We start from the raw sequence: 20,718 nt of genomic DNA on the forward strand, positions 1-20,718 counted from the left end.
ATGTACCTGCTCTCAATGTCTGTACATTCTTTCTTTGTACTGCTCCTTTCACAGCAGGATCTTCCATTTCAGTGCTAGGCTGAATGGGTTTTAAAAGAAAATGATTCATAAATCATATATATTTTATACAATGTGGAGTTAGTGATTCAAAAAATATACATAATTAATTACCTTCAAGGAAGGATGTTTTGCAGGAGGCCCTACAAAGCAAAAGGGATATGTCATCAATTATATGTAAGTATGACAGGGCCAACCATTCATGCAGTGTTACTATCGAGCTGAATTCTCATGCCTGGCTATGAAAATAATTACTTAAGGTTTTGAGGGTTCTTCTTGGCTTCTTCTTTTCATTGCCTAGGACAGCAACATGACAGAAACCTAATGAGGAAAATAGGAATACAGGATTCCTAAAATGCACAGCTTACATTTCAGTAGTGAGATTATGTTTCAAATGTCTATACCTAAAATAGAAAAGCATGGATATCACTGTGAACACGTGGGCTGATGAGGAGAAAAGGGACCACTAAACAGAGGAGCAAATCAAACCTGAGGGAATCGATGTCAAAGCTGATGGTGAATGTACAGAGTATTTTAACTCAACACATCAGAGGCATTGCTGCCAGCACACCACAGATAAATTCCCCTTGTCCTGTCGCTGAGGAAATACACAGTTGGGATGACAGTTCAGGTGAATGTGTGATTCACCTCTCATCAAAGAAAGTGTTCTACATTGATCAGCTAGGACGCACACTTATGAAATAACAGCTAATCAAAATACTCATTTTTCCCATGATCACATGGGCTACTGCAGCACCTACATTTCTCCTATCCCCTCATTTGGCCTTGAGTTAGAGCTCCTTGATCCACTTGTGCGAGGTGGTCCATAAAACACATCAAATAAACCATGTCGAATAAGCTTCCAATATCAAAATATTTATCAAAAAAGAAAACACTGAATTACCACAGACTTGCTGGATACGAATACACATTTATATTTCAAAATCAGTGCAGTACTTATTGAAAATGAGTATTTTGGTATTCACAGAATGAATTTTATAATACAATTGCTTCTAAAATTAACTAAGTTTGGTATATCATCTTACACTGTAAAGGACTTTTATAAAGCAGCTATCATATCAAAGAACTGGCTGTCTCAAAAAAAATTAGCCAAAGCATCTATATGCAACTTAATCACATCTTATTCACTCATGTCAATGAAACTTCTCTCTCTGAGGCCTGACAATTATGAAGTGAAATGAGCTGCTGTGGTTTACCCCAATTCTAGCACTCCCTCCTGCCTCCAGTACTCTCCACAGCAATAACCTCTTTTGTGAGACTGGGCATATGCTGAAGCAACTGGAAGTGAGTTGTCTCAAGTTTACTTGGCTTTAACTCCCAAGACCCCAGCAAATGTCTTTCTTTCCTCCCTCTGTGTCCTTTCACAATCCCTCTTCCTTTGAAAAAGTGATTTTTAGATCTGTCATCCTGATGCTTCCCTTCCTAACTGCTTTTTATGGATAATTGTGACCACTTTTTTCATCTGTATTCAGCAGTAGTATACACCTGTAATCTCTCTTTTTTCATCTCATTTTCCTTCCCCTGTGGCTAGAATCGTGCTCAGAAATAAAAGGAAATTAATGCTTTCCCTGGATTCTGCTATTATTCAAATTGCTCTCCAGTGGTTCTTTTTCCAGATTTCTCTAAAGGAAGGCTATTCCCTTGCTATTCAGAGCTGTGTCCAAGGACCAGCAACAACATCACCTGAGTACTCATGAGAAATGCAGACTCCTATACCTGCTAAATCAGAATGTGCAGTTTCCAGAAGTTCCTCAACTAATTCATGACTATCTGAATGCCCTGTTTTACACTTTATGTGCTTCCATATTAGTTTACCCTAATTGCCCTTTTTGGCCTAGACTCAATTTCTTCCCTATTATGTCTCTGAATTTAATACTACATTATAAGCCATAATGTTTCTAATGAACTTTTAATCAGGTAATACCTTCTCTAATTAATTTCTTCTCCATACATCACCCAACACTATTATTTTCAATTATGTTAATTTGGCCTATATGATACTATCCTATGAGGTTACAACATTTTCTTTAAAACCAAATTATAGCCATACATGGCTGACCATTTATGGTGATGTTCATCTATGGTAGATAAAACACAGGTCTGTGTGGTAAAATACCTCAATCCTTAATGCCTCCCCAGTAGTGAGGATGACAGCAAGAGTAGGAAAATGTTACTCTAATTCTCTGACATATGTTGGTACGGGAAGCTCACTTTATCTTCCTTCCTATTCCTAACACCCTGTTCTTCCTTCTTCTACAGATCAATTAGACTTTACTACCCTCTATTACATACATCCGCATATGTGTTTTTATTTATTCCATGTATACTCTGCCCTCCTCATCTTTCTTTCTCTTTTATTCATTTCCTCTTCCCTCTCTCCTGACTTGCCTCAGGTCTTAGAGTATCTTAAAATGGAACCCACAACTCAGCTCCTTTAGTGGTACTCCCAATAGAATCAACTGCTGACCCTTGGTTAGAGACACAACTTATCACCATTTCACTTCTCCTTTACTTATTATACAGTTAATAGGACATTTTCTTTAGCTATTAGACTCTATTAGTGCTCATATTTTCAAAGAAACATTCCATCAAATGACTTTTTTTTTTTTTTTTTGAGACAGAGTCTCACTCTGACATCCAGGCTGGAGTGCAGTGGAGTGATCTCCGTTTACTGCAAGCTCCGCCTCCCAGGTTCACACCATCCTCCTGCCTCAGCCTCCCAAGTAGCTGGGACTACAGGGGCCCGCCACCACACCTGGCTAATTTTTTGTATTTTTAGTAGAGATGGGGTTTCACCATGTTAGCCAGGATTATCCCGATCTCCTGACCTTGTGATCCGCCCACCTCGGCCTCCCAAAGTGCTGGGATTACAGGTGTGAGCCACTGCACCCAGCCTCCAACAAATGACTTTTTAAATAAAATACAGTTCTCACCTTCTCCTTTTCCATTGACTATTCTGTTTTCCTTTTCCATGGGAAGGTCCACATAAAGGCTCTGACACTTTCTCGGGGACACACTGCTAAGGTAATATCAAGAATTAGTTTCCATTTTAAAATTATGAGTTGCATCAAGAGCTTCTTATCAATCTCTTTTTATGAAACTGGGTCTCACTCTGTCAACCAAGGGCTAGAATGCAGGGGCCTGATTATGGCTCACTGTGGTCTCAAACTCCTGACCTCAAGCAATCTTCCCACCTCAACTTCCTGAATAGCTGGAACTACAGGTGCATACCATCATGCCATGCTAATGTTTCTATTGTTATCTTTGTAGAAATAAGGCCTCATTATACTGCCCAGGCTGGTCTCAAACTCCTAGGCTCGAGTAAATCTTCGACTTCTGCCTCCCAAAGTGTTGAGATAAGCAGTGTGCACCACCACACCCAGCCCTAATCAATTTCTTTAAATCAGTCTCAATGTTGCCCAGGCATGGTGGCTCACACCTGTAATCTCAGCCCTTTGCAAGGCCAAGGTGGGTGGATTGCTTGAGTTCAGGAGTTTGAGACCTGCCTGGGCAACATAATGAGAACACATCTCTACACAAAAAATACCAAAAGGAGTCAGGCATGATGGTGTGTGCCTGTAGTCCCAGCTGCTTGGGAAGCTGATGTGGGAGGATCACTTGAGCCTGAGAGGTGGAGACTGTAGGGTGCCAAGATCATGCCACTACACTGCAGCCTGGGCAACAGAGCAAGACCCTGACTCCCCAAAAATATCAATTTAAAATGTAAGAATGAAGAGAGATACAAACAAAAAAGAAGCCTAATTGGTCAATGAAATATGAGCTTAAGCCAAGAAAGAAAAGAAACAACATGAAGTACAATAAAGTACATGGGGAAATAGATCTATAACAGAGCCTTTTGGTCTTTCATATCCCTGATAATACTAATTAATATTTATGCTACAATTAGTTTTTTGTAAGTACTTCTGTGATAGAGTTTATTACTATAAGACATTCAATTAGCTAAATATGGTCATCTACCACTACCTGAAAGAACATTATTATAACAGAGAGAGAAAACTGGAACTTTCCATCAACGTTCCACCCAGAAAAAGAATTGGTCACCAGAATTCTAGAGTAATGTATGGCAGACACATGAAAAAATGCTCATCATCACTGGCCATCAGAGAAATGCAAATCAAAACCACAATGAGATACCATCTCACACCAGTTAGAATGGCGATCATTAAAAAGTCAGGAAACAACAGGTGCTGGAGAGGATGTGGAGAAATAGGAACACTTTTACACTGTTGGTAGGACTGTAAACTAGTTCAACCATTGTGGAAGACAGTGTGGTGATTCCTCAAGGATCTAGAACTAGAAATGCCATTTGACCCAGTCATCCCATTATTGGGTATATACCCAAAGGACTATAAATCATGCTGCTATAAAGACACATGCACACGTATGTTTATTGCAGCACTATTCACAATAGCAAAGACTTGGAACCAACCCAAATGTCCAACAATGATAGACTGGATTAAGAAAATGTGGCACATATACATCGTGGAATACTATGCAGCCATAAAAAAGGATGAGTTCATGTCCTTTGTAGGGACATGGATGAAGCTGGAAACCATCATTCTGAGCAAACTGTCACAAGGACAGAAAACCAAACACCACGTGTTCTCACTCATAGGTGGGAAATGAACAATGAGAACACTTAGACACAGGAAGGGGAACATCACACACCAGGGCCTGTTGTGGGGTGGGGGGAGGGGGAAGGGATAGCATTAGGAGATATGTCTAATGTAAATGACGAGTTAATGGGTGCAGCACACCAACATGGCACATGTATACATATGTAACAAACCTGCACGTTGTGCACATGTACCCGAGAACTTAAAATATAATAATAATAATAAAGGGTAATGTATGGCTTGAAAAGGTATATTTAATAGAACCTGAGTTGGGACTAATAAAAAGCTTAAGAAATGTTAATCTAAAATCTCAATGTTAAGATTCCAGTTCAATGATACTAGAAAATATATTGTAACCCTCTTTGCTACTGATGACCTATTTCTAATTTATTTCCTTTTTAATTATGGCATAATTTCTCAACATAACACATCAAAACTTATACTCCCTTAAATATTAAAAAATAATACAAATGTAAGCAATATTTTAAATACAATATTTAATTGTTAGATACATTAGGTATATTATATTACTTATAACATTCCATTATATAAAAATTCATTTGTCTATTTATTCAGATTAAACAACTATTAAGGCTGAATGTCTCATGCCTGTAACCCCAGCACTTTGAGAGGCTGAGGCGGGCAGAACACTTGAGCCCAACAGTTAAAGACCAGCCTGGGCAACAAGGCAAAACCCTGTCTCTACAAAACTCGGCCGAGCATGGTGACACAGGTCTATGGTGACATAGCTCTACTGTTTCAACTACTTGGATGGCTGAAGTGTGAGGATCTCCTGAGCCCAGGAAATGGAGATTGGAGTGAGCCAAGATCTCACCAGTGCCCTCCAGCCTGGGTGACAGAGTGAAACCCCATCTCAAAAAACAACAAGTAAAATGCTTCTTACATGGAAGACTATATTCTAGGTACTCCAGGATACACACAAATATGTTTACTGACCTCCAGTAGCCTATAGTATGCAGGAGCTTCCAATGATTATTTAAACAACTAAATAGAAAACCTTCTGACATTCAAAATTTCAGAATAGGATATAAGGACTTTGAGTGGTTATTTTATTTTTTAAGATGTAGTCTTGCTCTGTCACCCAGGCTGGAGTGCAATGGTGCGATCTTGGCTCACTGCAACCTCCGCCTCCCAGGTTCAAGCGATTCTCCCACCGTGGCCTCCTGAGCAGCTGGGATTACAGGCATGCACCATCACGCCTGGTTAATTTTTGTGCTTTTTTTTTTTTTTTTTTTAAAGACAGGGTTTCACCATGTTGGCCAGGCTGATCTTGAACTCCTGACCTCAGGTGATCTACCCACCTCGGCCTCCAAAAGTGCTGGGATTACAGGTGTGAGCCACCACGTCTGGCCAACTAAATATTTTAAATAAACTACAATGACAAAATTATGATGATAAAGTCTTACCATATTGGTATTAAGAGTCTCTGCTTCTAGAACTGGTTATTTGCAGCAAAATACATGTTATTCAATTAGATGAAGTGTTTTATATAAACTCTTCATGGACAACTCATAAAACACACAAAAATCCCTTCGCAATACAAATTTTGAGAACATAAATTTAAATTTCTATGTTTCCACAATTTATATTTTTAAATCAGATACAGTCTTGTTATGTTGCCCAGGCTGTTCTCAAACTCCTGGGCTCAAGCAATCTTCCTGCATCAAACTCCCAAGTAGCAGGGACTACAGGTGTACACCACCACACTCAGCTATTTTTCTACAATTTTTAATATTATTTTAGTCTCACTATAGAACCAATAATATAAGTAGAGAAACAATCTCTCCTAAAAACTATATGATACCAAAATAATAAGTTTCCAAGAAGAAAAGCTATATGCTATGTGCTGAACCTTTTTGCAACTAAAAGTTACCAGGAGGATTCCATGATTACTGCAAATAATTTGATCCACTGAAGAGTTATACAGGCATAAATATTATGAAAGTCACACTCACAGGATTTAAAACTCAAAGTATTAGTATTTATCCAAATAAAGCTTAATCAAATTTCATATTTCCTCTATTGGAGAAAGCATTTCCTAATGTGATTTTCCTGTCACTACTTATTTTCCAGTTCATTTTTTTTCAGCTCCTACCCTGTCACGGTACTTATCAATCTTTGTTAGTTACCAAAGTTAAACAAATTTTTTCAATCAACTAGCCATATATATGTTTTTCTCTGACCCACTTTCCGTTACCACCATAAAACAATGACAGATAAACCACTGCTAAGTTTGAAAAGTAAATACTCTGCAAAACTACATTCAGAGTGAGAAAATTAATTTTACAAGAGACCAATTTACCTTAGCAGCAACACTCAAGACTTCGTCATCTAATGCAGGCAATGAATCCACACACAGTTCATGGAAAATGCTTGGGAGCAAAAATACACAATGAAAATGAGCAAGTTGATTTCTTTACAATTTTTTAACTGCCAGTTTATATCCAGCTTCCCCCTCAAAAAAGGAAAGAATAATCTGGGGAAAGGTCAGTGATCTATATATTAAATTATGATTCTTGATATAATTAAAATAGGTCCTCTGTTCTAAAAATAGATTTTAGTTACCTATTTCTGCCTCCACCTGTCTAAATCTATAAAATGTTCAATGAAAACTAACCTTCAGCTTCATAACAAATAGTGACAGTCAATATATTGGCAGAGCCTGACAATAATTTGCCCTCACAAATTATCTGTCCTGAAGCTGAACTTAAAACTCAATTAATGGATGACATAAATTTTGTTACCTAAACTGGAAGAAAACTGATGACCTAAAACAAGGTAGAAAGATCCACTGTCTCTTTTCCATAATCTATCTCTGGTTAAAAGACTAATCTGCATCACTTCAAATTGGCAGTCTTGATTCCTCAACATGGAACCCACTTAGGAATGTCCTATTGCTTTCCTTTGCCCTAAATCGGTACAGGAAATCCCATGCAATATTTGAAAGGTATGAAAGCTACATGTACAAAAATCAAATAACAAAAGTGTATGTTCTTATTGAGAATACTTTTCCCAGAAAGATTAAAATATTAGCAATTATAAAATCCCATTATTTTCACTCTATAGGTCCTACTTTATTCAGGTCCACATAAACTAGCAAGCCCTTAAAAATTTTCATAGGCACTCAGACACCCAAGGAGAGAGACTGCCAGAAAAACAGAGTCCTGGTAGTTGTACCTCTATTTCCCTAAGTACTATCTAAGTATCTGTCTTCCTATGGGCTCCCACTTCCAGATTCCACTTCTGCAGGGCTCCACAGAAGTCTCCAATCTTCAAATCTTCAGCCTATGAAAGCACAGATTCCTGAAAGGATGGCCTCAAATGACCAGGAGTAGGAGCCCTCTATATCCCTGCTCCTGAAAAACAAGCTAACTGGAGTCTCCATCACCTGCACCCAGCATAGACACACTACCAACTACCCAACTGAACTCCATGACTGATTTGCCAGCCAATCATGCCCCTGACCCAGCCTACATGGACATGGGAAGGACATCAGTGAATCGGGAACAGAGGCAGAGGTGAAGAGGCCACCTGTCCTGGGCCACACATCTATGTAGTCCAGCAATCTCCAGCCCCTTCGTACTCCAGGGGCTCTAAGCCACCCCTCTGAAAGTCAGGACGGAAGTAGATGACACTACATTTCTATCTGCTGTAGACACTCCTCCCAGTGTCTCAAAATGTTTTAGCATCTTTCAGTAAAATTCTTCAAGTTTGTCAGTCCTTGATTTAAACAAAAGGAGCGAACTTTTTAGAGCTCCCTTGAACTCTTTATCAAACTTCTCATAAACCCCAATATTTTGATCTCTTATTGAAGAGTCCATACTCCTATCCAATCCAGTGTTGTTTCTCTTCAAACTTGGCCTTCCCCTGCTCATTCCATTTTTATCTACTTCCATTGGGTTCACCAGCTAATTCCATTCTCATACTATCCACTGGGTGCACCAGACTCACTCCCATTTGTATTATTAAAGCACATGCAAATAGGATATAAAAAGAAGGAAGAGTACTGGGCCTCAAAATGAGTTCAAATCTCATTTCTGCCAATTCCTATGTCTAAAAAAAAAGCATCCTAATCTCTTTGAGCCTCACATTCTCTGAGAATCACTTGACCAGAATGTTCAATACAGGTAAAAATACTAGAAAGTATTTTAATTAATTCTAAGATTCCTTAAAATTCTGTAATTCTATGTCCTCTTGATTCTGTCTATAGGAAAACTGGGAATACATACCCAGCAGAATTTTAAAAAATAATAGAACAAAAGAAACAGCAAGAAAAGCAGAGAAGAAAGTTCTAAAAAATCAAGACAAGATTATAGAAAAGTCATGGAAAAAGAAACAAGACTAACAAAAGTATTATGGAAGTAGCAGAAATACTTGCCTAAATGGAAAACCAAACTGGGAAGTCAAATGATTTCTCTCTAAGACTTGCCTAAACTTGCTTTTGTAAAACTTACAGTCCTATGGCCAAAGCTAAGTAAGATTTGCCCTAAAGCCTTTGATGGTAAAAATAAGATACTGGTTACCACTGAAATTGTCAAATTTATCTGGACAATCTCTTCCACTAACCACATTCTAACAATAACCTTAAATGAGAGTTTAAGGTATTTAAGGTATTTAAACTCTCATTAATTTAGACATTAATTAAATTAATGAATCTGATTAATCTGATTCAGACCTATACCTTGATCCAAGTGCTGCATGGATGTCTATCAATCTATGCTGAGGAGCAAGAGAAGGGATTTGGAAGCCAGGCAGGCTGACGGTCCAACTGTAGGCCAGCTACTTTGTTAACTATGAGATTATAAGGCAATTAATCAACTGCTCTAATCCATAGTTGTTTATTTAATAAACAGTAGGTTATAGGAACACAGATGTTGTGATGGCTTTATGAGATGATAAATGCATAGAACATATTAGGATGTCTAGCCCAGAATATAACACTCAACAGATACTAGTTTCTTCCATCTATGTTTTCTTAGTTAACATAATTCTTTAAATCTATAAAATCCTACCTGACTGCAGATTCATCAGAACTTCCAACATCTATTAAAGAAAAAGGTAGAATGCATTTTAAATCAATAATAAATGTACAGAATATTAAAAGCATAAGAATGCACAGTGATGCATGCCTGCAATCCAAACTACTCGGGAGGATGAGGCAGGAGGATCACTTGAGGAATCTAGAAGTTTGAGAACAGCTTGGGAAACATAGTAAGACACTACCTTCATAAAAAAAGTTGTGCACACTTGTGTGTATGCTTTAGATCCTGTTTTTGTTGTTGTTGGTGGTGGTGGTTTTGTTTTGGTTTGTTTTTTAAAAGCATAAGACTGATGCTTTGTTACAAAGAATTCCTTTGGGAGCATGCCTGGGACCTTATTAGAATTAACATTAATTGTACCTATTGGTAGGTAATTAATGCAGTAAGAACTCTTCCCTTTGTATTTATTAGATGTAAAGAAGAATAAATTTATTAAAATTTGGTATCTACAAGTGAACTGCAGTATACAAGTCATCCTAGCCAAACCCTATGAGATTGAGTAAAAATGGTATTGTTAGCAGAACAGGTGTGATGAGTCAACAGTGTCAAAGAGCATGATTTCTGGACCAAAATATGAGGAGCAGTTAGAGGATACAGTAGTACCCCTTATCCACTGTATGTGCGGAAAGACATACTTGACATGTTTTTCTCTGCTCTCACGCCACAGCAACAATCATCAACAAAGAAGGCTTCTGTGACCAAATGTGTGGAGAGTTTTTCCCCACCAAAAAGCAAGCAATCATTCCTGCTGATGGCACGATTCAATTCTCACACCCTATCTTCAGATTACATCAGATTTAATTTATAAATTAAACTTTATCATAGATATGTATGTATAGAAAAAACAGTTTGTGATTCAGTACTATTCATGGTTTCTTGCATCCACTGGGGGTCTTGGAATGTATCTCCCACAATTAAGGGGGAACTACTGCACTTATTTTGTTATAACACAACACAGCCTCTCTAGCTCTTCAGTTCAAACTGTTCAGTTTAGGATAAAACACCCTATCACCAGAAGCCAGCAAAACATAGTAATCAGACCAGAAACAGGAATCCTTGCAAAAACTTTGCAGCTGCCAGTGGAGAAGAGCTCGAGAGAGACCACTGTGTTACTCTGGCTAATACTCTTCTGGGGAAGGTGCTGGGTGGTTTCCTTAGTTGTAGCTATTTGCTCTGCCCTACATATAACAAGGCCCATGTTCACCTGCCATTTTACCTCCCACAGAAAGAACCACTGGAAAGATCACTCCTTTAAGAGCTTATCCACATTCAGAGAGAAGCTTAAGAAACACTGGGGAGGTGTGGCAGGCTGCTGGGCAGTATTATCTGATGTGAAAAATATATAGAAAGAAAACTATCAATGCCCTTTTACTACCAGAATGTGCCAATGCTTGCTGTTCTCCCTAGTAGGAGAAAAAAATTCTTTTTCACCTCACATAAAGCAAAACTCCCTTGCCATCCCTCATAACAGAATCTAGTTGTAGGTGAGTCATGTCATCATAACACAGGCTGTTGTCAACCTCATCCCTCAAAGGAAGAGGATCAGTGAGGAACATATGTATTTACCTATAGCATTCACTGCCTGGTCTTATTTCCAACCGAAGGTAAGTATGAAAGACTTTGTGATTCCAGTTTTATAAAGTACAACCCCTTGCGCTTGCCCCCTTCCATTGCTAGACAGTGTATCTGGACCCACCTCACAGAGCAAGATGCTCCAGGTTGTGCTGTGTGGTACGGCGTGGTGTCCTTTTCCTCAACCCTTTCCATTATGTGCCAAATATCTATACAAATCATGTTTTCTAAGTATGTAAAGCATACCTCATCAGCATATATCATTCTTTACAATGATAAAAAAGCAAAAGAAAAACAAAAGGACAAAGAACATCTTAAATGACTACCTTCAATTGCCATGGAGCTTTGATTTTTTTAACTATTCAAAAAGATATCCACAGTATTATTCCAACTATATGACTCTTCTGAAAAAAGTAAAACTATGAAGACAGAGTAAAGATCAATGGCTGCCACAAGTTGCTAGGGAGAAAGGGAGAGATGAACAGGCATAGCATAGAGAATTTTTAGGGCAGTGAAACTGTTCTGTCAATAATATAACAGTAATAGATACATGTCATGTCATTATACATTTGTCCAAATTCACAGAATGTACAGCATCAAGAGTGAAGCCTGATGTAAACTATGAACTTTGAGTGATTATAATGTGTCAATGTAAGTTCATCAGTTGTAACAAATGTACCACACTCTGGTGGAAAATACTAATAATGGGGGAGGCTATGCATGTGTTGGAGGCATGGAATATACAAGAAATCTCTGTACCTTCCTCTCAATTTTGCTGTGAACCTAAAACTGCTCTAAGAAATAAAGTTATTGATTTAAAAAAGATATTCACAGCAGGGCTCAGTGGCTCATGACTGTAACCTCAGCACTTTGGGAGGCATAGGCGGGTGGATCACCTGAGGTCAGCAGTTCAAGACCAGCCTGGCCAACATGGCAAAACCTCACCTCTACTAAATACAAAAATTAGCTGGGCAAGGTGGCAGGCACCTGTAATTTCAGCTACTTGGGAGGCTGAGGCAGGAGAATCACTTGAGCCTAGAAGGCGGAGATTGTGGTTAACCAAAATCGCACCACTGCACTCCAGCCTGGGAGACAGTGAAACTCCATCTCAAAGAAAAAAAAAAAAAAAGATATTCACTGTTTATGCATCCCAGGATCTCCAGAATAATTAAAATAATAAAAAAAATATGGCCGGGCGCAGTGGCTCATGCCTGTAATCCTAGCACTTTGGGAGGCCAAGGTGGGTGGATCACCTGAGGTCAGGAGTTCCAGACCAGCCTGACTAACATGATGAAACCCCGTCTCTACTAAATACAAAAGATTAGCCGGGCATGGTGGTGCATGCCTGTAGTCCCAGGTACTTGGGAGGCTGAGGCAGGAGAATTGCTTGAACCCGGGAGGTGGAGGTGTCAGTGAGCCAAGATTCTGTCATTGCACTGCAGCCTGGGCAACAGAGCAAAACTCTGTCGCAAAAAAATTAATAAATAAATAAAAAATAAAGATATTCACTGAACCTGTTATGATGATATATTTAAGCAAGAGACAGTGACCCTAGAAATTGGAGATCATTGAAGACCAAAGTGACAGCATGTGGTCATTATATTTCTCAAATTGAAGTATATGAAATATATAAAATAAATAAATTTAATTGCATGCTTAGGTAAGAAAATATTGTTAAAAATGATTGAATATCTTATTTCATAATTCTAAACAGGGATTTAGCACAATATGAAAACTAGATTATTCATGTAATCAAAATAAAATACAATTTTTATTCTAATTTTAACTCAAAAATTATTATGCTTATTTAATTTAACAATTCTACTGAAAGCTTAATGAGATAAAAAGGACAGATTATAATTACCTAACATTGCTATGGTAACTTATATACAAATACCTGTTAGTCACCAAAAGTCAAAAAGTAACCAGCATTGCAACTTAAGATGGATCATACAACAGAAATTAGTACCAAGTTACCTTATCTTATAATATTATGTCTTATTAAAATGAAATTTTAAAACAAACCCAAAAATTAAATTGGGGCTATAAGCGTTGTGCAGAAAAGATTTCATATAGCAGGCAAGAGACTGCCATCCTTAGAAAGGCCTGCATGCAAGGCTGGCCCTTGGCTGGTGTTAAGGAAATTGGAATTGGGAGGGTTTCCACCATTCCCTGAGAAGAGTGGCTCACTGTGTCTAAAGTGTTTATAGAAACAGTGTGGTTACTCTGAACATCTGCTTTCCTTGTACGAGTCTGGAATTTGGGTACATGTAAGGCAGAGTAATTTCCACAGAAAAACTTGGATACTTCGTCTCTAATGAGACTCTGGTACTGGTAGACATCACTGCACATATGTTGTCAAAATGTGGGCCTGGGAGAATTAAGCAGATCCCGGGCACTCCACAGGAGAGAACTCCTGGAGGCTTGAGCCTGGTTTCCTCCAGAATTGACCACAAGCACCTTTTTCCTCTACTAATTTTGCTTGTCCCCTTTCTTGTAATCAATTAAAGATCTGAGTATGACTATTTGCTGAGTCCTGTGAGTCCTTCTAGTGAACCATCAAACCTGGGGTGGTCTTGGGAAACCTTGACACAAATACATTGTGTAAGATTTGTATTAAGTTGATATGATATATGTAACTGTAATCAGATGGCTATTTCACAGAATAATTTTCCCTAAACTGTTTTTCTTTTCTTTTTTTCCCTTGATATTTGACTTGGAGATTCTTGTATTTCTATATCTATCCACAGGAATAAAGCCATAAAAGGAATAAATGACACAATAATATCAGAAAATAATGTGGAATAAGCAGCAATCCTATTTTAACTGAATAAAAAACAGAGAATCTGGGTGATTGACAATATGTTGTACAATATGAATGTTTCTAGAAAAAATAATGAAAAGGTGGTCAATTTTCTGCAACTCAACTGGGCTTAATTCCTTTTTATAATAATTGTGCAGGTCAGGTGCAGTGGCTCACACTTGTAAATCCCAGCATTTTGGGAGGCTGAGGCAGGAGGATCACTTGAACCCAGAAGTTCCAGACCAGCCTGGCAATATAGTGAGACCTCATCTATTAAACAAAAAAAAACAAAAAACAAAAAAAACCTTAAAAAGAAAATTAGCCAAGTGTGGTGGTGCATGCCTGGGGTCCCAGCTACTTGGGAGGCTAAGGTGAAAGGTGAAAGGATCATTTAAGGCCAGGAAGCAGAAGTTGCAGTGAGCCAAGATGGCACCACTGCACTCCAGTGCAGAGCAACAGAGGGAAACACTGTATCAAAAATAAATAAATAAACAATTGTGTATCAGGCCAGATATAACCATACAAAACTGTAGTCCCAGCTACTCAGGAAGATGAGGTAGGAGGACTGCTTGAGCCCAGGAGTTCAAGGCTACAGTGAGCTATGTTTGCACCAATGAATAGACACTTTATTCTAGCCTAGGCAACATAGAGAGACCCCATCTCCTATAATAATAATAATTGATTAATTGTGCATCATTCAAGTAAATTGTATAACTGGAGAAAAACATATGACTATTGAATATACTATAATAGTCTACTACTGATCATAGAGTTTCTGTTTACTTGCTTCTAATCTTTTTCTTTGTTTCTTATAAAACTAAAAACATGATTCACCCATTAAAGGCAGTTCATTACAGAACAAGTCAAAAAGTCAAAAGAATTGCATCCAAACTGTAGAATGTGTTATCCACCACTCCCCGCGAACAGTTGGATTTGGTCATTAAGAATCAGCAGGACTTTTAACTTGGTGTCTGTGTGCACATGCGTGCGCACATATGTATGTGTATATGTGCATGTGTGTATGTGTATGTGTATAAACTATGACAGATAAAACCATTTTGCTTGTGTAAGAATATGTAATATAACTTGTGCTTCTCATGAAGGAATTGCTTTTCTGTCTTCTGTGCTCAGTAGCTATCCTCAAAAAATAATCTCTTATTTGTATGGGTGCATGCTGGTTCAGTTTTACAGTTCTTATTGCCATTTATTTATGGTACCAGAAAGGAATTGCTGAGTTCCTGGTTCTAAAGATAGTTACTTTCTTAGTGACACAAATCAATATGTAATACAGTTCACCCTTCAACAGCAAGGGTTTCAACTGCAGCGACTCACTTATATGCAGATGTTCTTCTGCCTCTGCAACCCAGAGACAGCAAGATCCACCTCTCCTCTTCCTCCTCAGCCTAATCAACCTGAAGATCTTGAAGACCTTTGTCAGGATCTACTTAATGCTTTATGAAAAGTCAATATATCATTCCTGATGATTTTCTTTCTAACCGCTTCATTTCTCTAGCTTACTTTATTGCAAGAACACAGTATATAATAATGCAGCACAAACAAAATAGGTGTCCACCAACTGTTTATGTTATCAGGAAGGCTCCCAGTCAATGGTGGGCTATTAGTAGCTAAGGTGAAGGAATCAAAAGTTATACTCAGATTTTCAACTGCACAGGGATCAGAATACCTCACCCCCACATTATTCATGGGTCAACTGTAATTATTTGTTTACTAAATATAAACAATTTATTATAAAAATGAAATAGAAGATCCATTTGTATAACAAGTCCAATTTGTTATAATGTGACTATAGAGGAAACATACAACATACTAACTTAAAAGTCTTTTTTCTTATTTACGCAAAAATATTACATAGGATTTTAGGGATCATAATTAAATAAAGGAATTTTTTCAGACAATCATGTTTGAGATTATAAGTTAGCTACAACTACCTTCTTAAATAAATCTGAATTTCAAACTAAAGAAGTTAAATTTTAAAAATTAATTTACATATGTATATACATATATGCACATTTAATTTACATATATTTTTAAACTGGTCTTTTTTTATTAACACTACCTTAATCTTACATCTTACTTTTTACTTTCTAATCAAGAGTAGGAACACCAAGAGAAATAAGAAATTCACTATCAGAAGTCTTACCTGGTTTGTCATTTTTAAGTATCATCTTTTTATGTTCCAAAATTTGTTGTTGAATTCTACGTATACAAAAGTAATAAATAAAATTGCTATTTTAATACTGAAATAAAAAATATTTACCAAACATATTAAATTCTAAAACCATTTCAGGCAATATCAGACCTAATATCAGAATTTTAATATCCCATATACTTCAAATTTTTAAACCTTACAAGCTTATTAAGCTTATAATTAAAGAAGAAAAAAAGTGAAGTACTCATAAATGGAGGAAGCATAGCTCAGTAAATGAACTCTAGTTAGCTGGACATCATGTAACATGTCCTGCACTCAGAATAAATCCTCACTCTGTAATAGATATTTTGTTTTCAGACAAGTTGCTTCTCTTAGGCTCCCTGGTTTCTTCTAAAAAATAAGGATTTTGCTACCTTACTTCAGTAGGTTGTTAGGAAGATGTAATAAGATTACATGTTTAAATGTTCAGGAAATAGTAAAGCAATGGAATGATTTATTCTTGAACTTTATTGCTTGGTGTGTGTTTTTCTATAAGTTCTAATATTCAATTGTTGCAGTTTTCAGAAAATGTTATTAAGTGCTAATTTTGGTTATTAAGTTGTATTCTTTGTGGCTTGTAATTCAGGGCATTTTACCTAATTCATAACTAATCTGATTAAAATAGATTACCTAATTGTCTCCCATCACTGAGCTCATCAATCACACCAAAGGCAGAAAACTAATAGGTGTCAAAACCTGGGCTTGGACAACTACCTCTCCTTCTCTACCTCCTCAAACTCTGAGCCAGCAGATCTGTGCTAGGACGCTGGATCTCCATGGTCCTCTCCAACTAACAGATGAGACAAAACCCTGCTTTTATTGTTTTTCACTTCCATGAAGGAAATGCAAGTTGACATTTTGTCATTTCCAAGACATGTACTAGCAACAAGTAACATCCCCTTATTACTCAGCTCTGTTCTCATTTCAGAGATCACCTTACATCAATAGTTTTATAGTGATAATCACAATTTCAATATTGGGTGTCTTCTGTTTTGGTTTCACTCACACTGCTTCCTTGGAGCTACTCAACAAATAGTCAAATGACCTTCCCGGGACTATGCAAAATATGGAATGCTTTCTGAATTTGTGTGCCATCCCTAGGCAGCAGCCATGCTTACCTGCTCTGTATTGATCCAATTTTAAAATATGTGCTGCTGAAACAAGTACAAAGCCCTGTTTGATAAATGGATACTCATGAGTTATGGATGAGGCTTAGCTCTGTTAAATCTAACTCACTGACTTTAGATTCAGAGAATTTTATTGAATGGCTTCCTGTGAGGTAGAATTTTAAAATACATTTAAAACTCCTGGAAGAGTTGTGATTAGCCCAGGAGATTTTCATTATCATAGAGACACATTAATTGAGGGGCCAATTGCAAGTTGGTTCCCACTACTCGGTGGAAAGATAACATGGAACCTTCTGCTATCTAACAAAAGCTGCTCCACAGGATGTAAAAAGGCCTCAAGGTACAGATCTGATAGCAAAAGGGAAAGGGAACCCTAATCTCTTCCTGCAACATGATTTTAACATCCCTGACTGTTGAGAGCAATCCCAACTAATATTGGTTAAAGAACAGACAAACACGGGTCTCAAAGGATAACTTACCATGAATGCCTAGGCTAAGTCTAGCTAAGATGTGGGCTCCAAATAAGGTTTTTACTGTAGGGTGAGGATCAACTTGCTCGACATTTGTGTGGGTAAAGCTAGGAGGCCTAGCTGCCAGATCAGGGTGCTGGGAACAACGACTGAGCATAAGTACATAAATTAATAAACACCGTAGCTTTGAACTCTATGTGTGAATCACCACAAAAACTGAGGGGTCTGAATGAGTGAAGGCATCCTGGTGGCAAAGGTCAATCATTATCAGATTGCAGGACTGGTTACAATGGCAACAATACAGGAAGTGAGACCATGGAAACAACAGAAAGATCAGAATGGCCTTTTTCCCCCTTCTTCTGACTTGTAAAGAAAGATTGCCTTCCTTGGACTTAGGAAACCCCTTAGCTTCTTGGAAAATTCAAAGAAGGAAGACACAGGAGATAGCCCCACGGGAAAATACAAGATTTTCTGCTAAATTGGACATTTCAAGACCCAATAACTAATTAGAAAAGTCAGGCCAGGCACGGTGGCTAGCACTGTGAGAGGCCGAGGCAGGTGGATTACTTGAGCTCAGGAGTTCAAGACCAGCCAGGGCAACAGAGACCTTGTTTCAAGGAAAAAAAAAAAAAAAGAAAAGAAAGGAAAAGAAGTAAAAAATGTGGCTCTTTTTATCCCATGCATGGGGATTATACTTAGAATAAAATGAACAACATTGAGATCCCTAGGGATAAAGGTCTTAAAAATCCTGAAAACATCTTGCACTCTACTTCTAACTAATCTAGACTTCTGCTTGATTTCTGGCTAAAAGGTAGACTAACTCATTGCTATTTCAAACCATCTGAACAAAACTAGGAACTCTCACCTAATGTATAAGATGGAATAGTTGCAATTATTTTAAACTTCAATTCAATATTAACTGGCCTTTTAACATAAACACTTACTTTGTCAAACAGCGAGAAATAGCGTAATCTTCTGCATCTTGTCCACACGTCTTGAGTAAAGACATTAATATTTTGTTTAAGAAGGATGTTGACAATACCCGGTGAGTCATAGTGCACAGCAAGCATAAGGGCTGTTCTAAAATAACAAGGAAATCACTCCACTCAAGAACTTTAATAAAGACTTTTTTAAACAGCTAGTTTGATACACTTTACCAATTTAATATCCACCTGTCAGTGTAGACATAATAACATTTTGCATGTACTAGCTTGGGTCTATAAGCATCTAGGGTGCTCAGGTGTTCATCTTTATAAATTGTCACCAAGTCTAAAAGAAAAGGACAATAAGGAAGCCTCCTGTCCCACTGGGGTATGACATAATACAAGTTGCTAACTCATAGTCCTTTGATGGCCAAGAAACTGTGCTGAGGTCACTTATCTAAAGCAGGTAAAGATTTAGATGAAGATTTCCCCATTGCTTTCCTAGTCTGATATATTGTAATTTATATCAGCTAGGGGTCAGATAAGAGCTATCTGCAGACTGAAAACAACAACAACAATAATGATGATGATGATAATACTAGTAGTCATAAACTAAAAGTCCACACTTTAAAAATTAATAAAACTGGCCAGGTGCAGGGGCTCATGCCTGTAATCCCAGCACTTTGAGGAGCCAAGGAGAGCAGATCACAAGGTCAAGAGATCGAGACCATCCTGGCCAACATGGTGAAATCCCATCTCTACTAAAAATACAAAAATTAGCTGGGCATGGCGGTGCGCGCCTGTAGTCCCAGCTACTTGGAAGGCTGAGGCAGGAGAATCGCTTGAGCCTGAGAGGTGGAGGTTGCAGTGAGCCAAGATCACACCACTGTACTCCAGCCTGGCAACAGAGCCAGACTGCATCTCAAAAAAAACTTAATAAAGCTAATACAAAACCCTTTAGCTAATAAAAGATTACAGTACCAAAAACATCCAATTATAAATAACAAACACTCTGTATTATAGGAGAAGATGAATCCTACTATATACTGTTCTTTATGTTACTCAGTCTAAATATTTGCTGATCTATCTGATTATTCATGGTGACATTTTTCACTACATGCCAATAATTACATTAATCTTCTTATTAGTATTTCTGACTTGAGTGACTGTTACCACTCTAGAATACTCAGGTTTCATTTAAAAAGAACTACTGTACCATCTCAGGCTATCAACGGCATGTGTACTTGCTTTGTTTTTCAATAAAAATTCCACCATTTTCTCTTTCTTGCAAATTATAGCGAATAAAAGTGGGGTATTATTGTCCTATAAAACAGCAGGAAAAATTAATAATTCACAAAATTACATATTTCTCAACTGAACTGAAAATCTTCTCTAAGGTGCTTTGAACTTCAACATACAATATACAAAGGAAGTAAATGAAAAGCAGTCCCTTCCTTCTCACTCCTCTGTGCTTTCTGATGTGCTGCTTTTTGCCTTGCAAACAACCCTCCTCTGTCTCCCCGGATTAACTGTGGTCATTGCCAAAACTCACTTTAAACATTTACCAGTCCCAAGAATCCTTGCTTTGATCACAGCACTTAGCATGGTACATTGTAATCATTTCACTGTGTCCCACTGAAACCAAGAGCTTCTTGAGGCAAGGGCTGTATCTTTTGTCTCTATAGCCCCAAAACCCTAAGACACAGTAGCAAACATTTTAAGTTTTTTACATAAATTAATGATCTAAATTATTCTCACTAAAGCAGTGTTTCTTAAACTATATTCCAAAGAATATTTGCCTTACCAGAAGTATTATACCCCAAGAGAAAGACTCCATGA

At 37.7% G+C, this 20,718-nt stretch overlaps 2 pseudogenes across 1 annotated transcript in view; both read right to left on the reverse strand.

Moving 5' to 3' along the window:
• Nucleotides 1-20,202, reverse strand: part of ANKRD20A9P (ankyrin repeat domain 20 family member A9, pseudogene) — a 60,825-nt pseudogene extending 40,623 nt beyond the window's left edge. The window contains exons 1-8 of the transcript NR_138091.1: nucleotides 20,096-20,202; nucleotides 18,901-19,036; nucleotides 16,312-16,367; nucleotides 9,749-9,779; nucleotides 7,039-7,108; nucleotides 3,012-3,097; nucleotides 172-200; nucleotides 7-79 (exon numbers count right to left, since the gene is read on the reverse strand). The product of NR_138091.1 is annotated as an ankyrin repeat domain 20 family member A9, pseudogene (transcript). The remainder of the gene's footprint in view (nucleotides 1-6; nucleotides 80-171; nucleotides 201-3,011; nucleotides 3,098-7,038; nucleotides 7,109-9,748; nucleotides 9,780-16,311; nucleotides 16,368-18,900; nucleotides 19,037-20,095) is intronic.
• On the reverse strand, nucleotides 17,420-17,526 carry RNU6-55P (RNA, U6 small nuclear 55, pseudogene; annotated as a pseudogene).
• Nucleotides 20,203-20,718: the final 516 nt, after the last annotated feature.

This window comes from Homo sapiens, chromosome 13, assembly GCF_000001405.40.
Source record: "Homo sapiens chromosome 13, GRCh38.p14 Primary Assembly".
Classification (NCBI taxonomy): domain Eukaryota; kingdom Metazoa; phylum Chordata; class Mammalia; order Primates; family Hominidae; genus Homo; species Homo sapiens.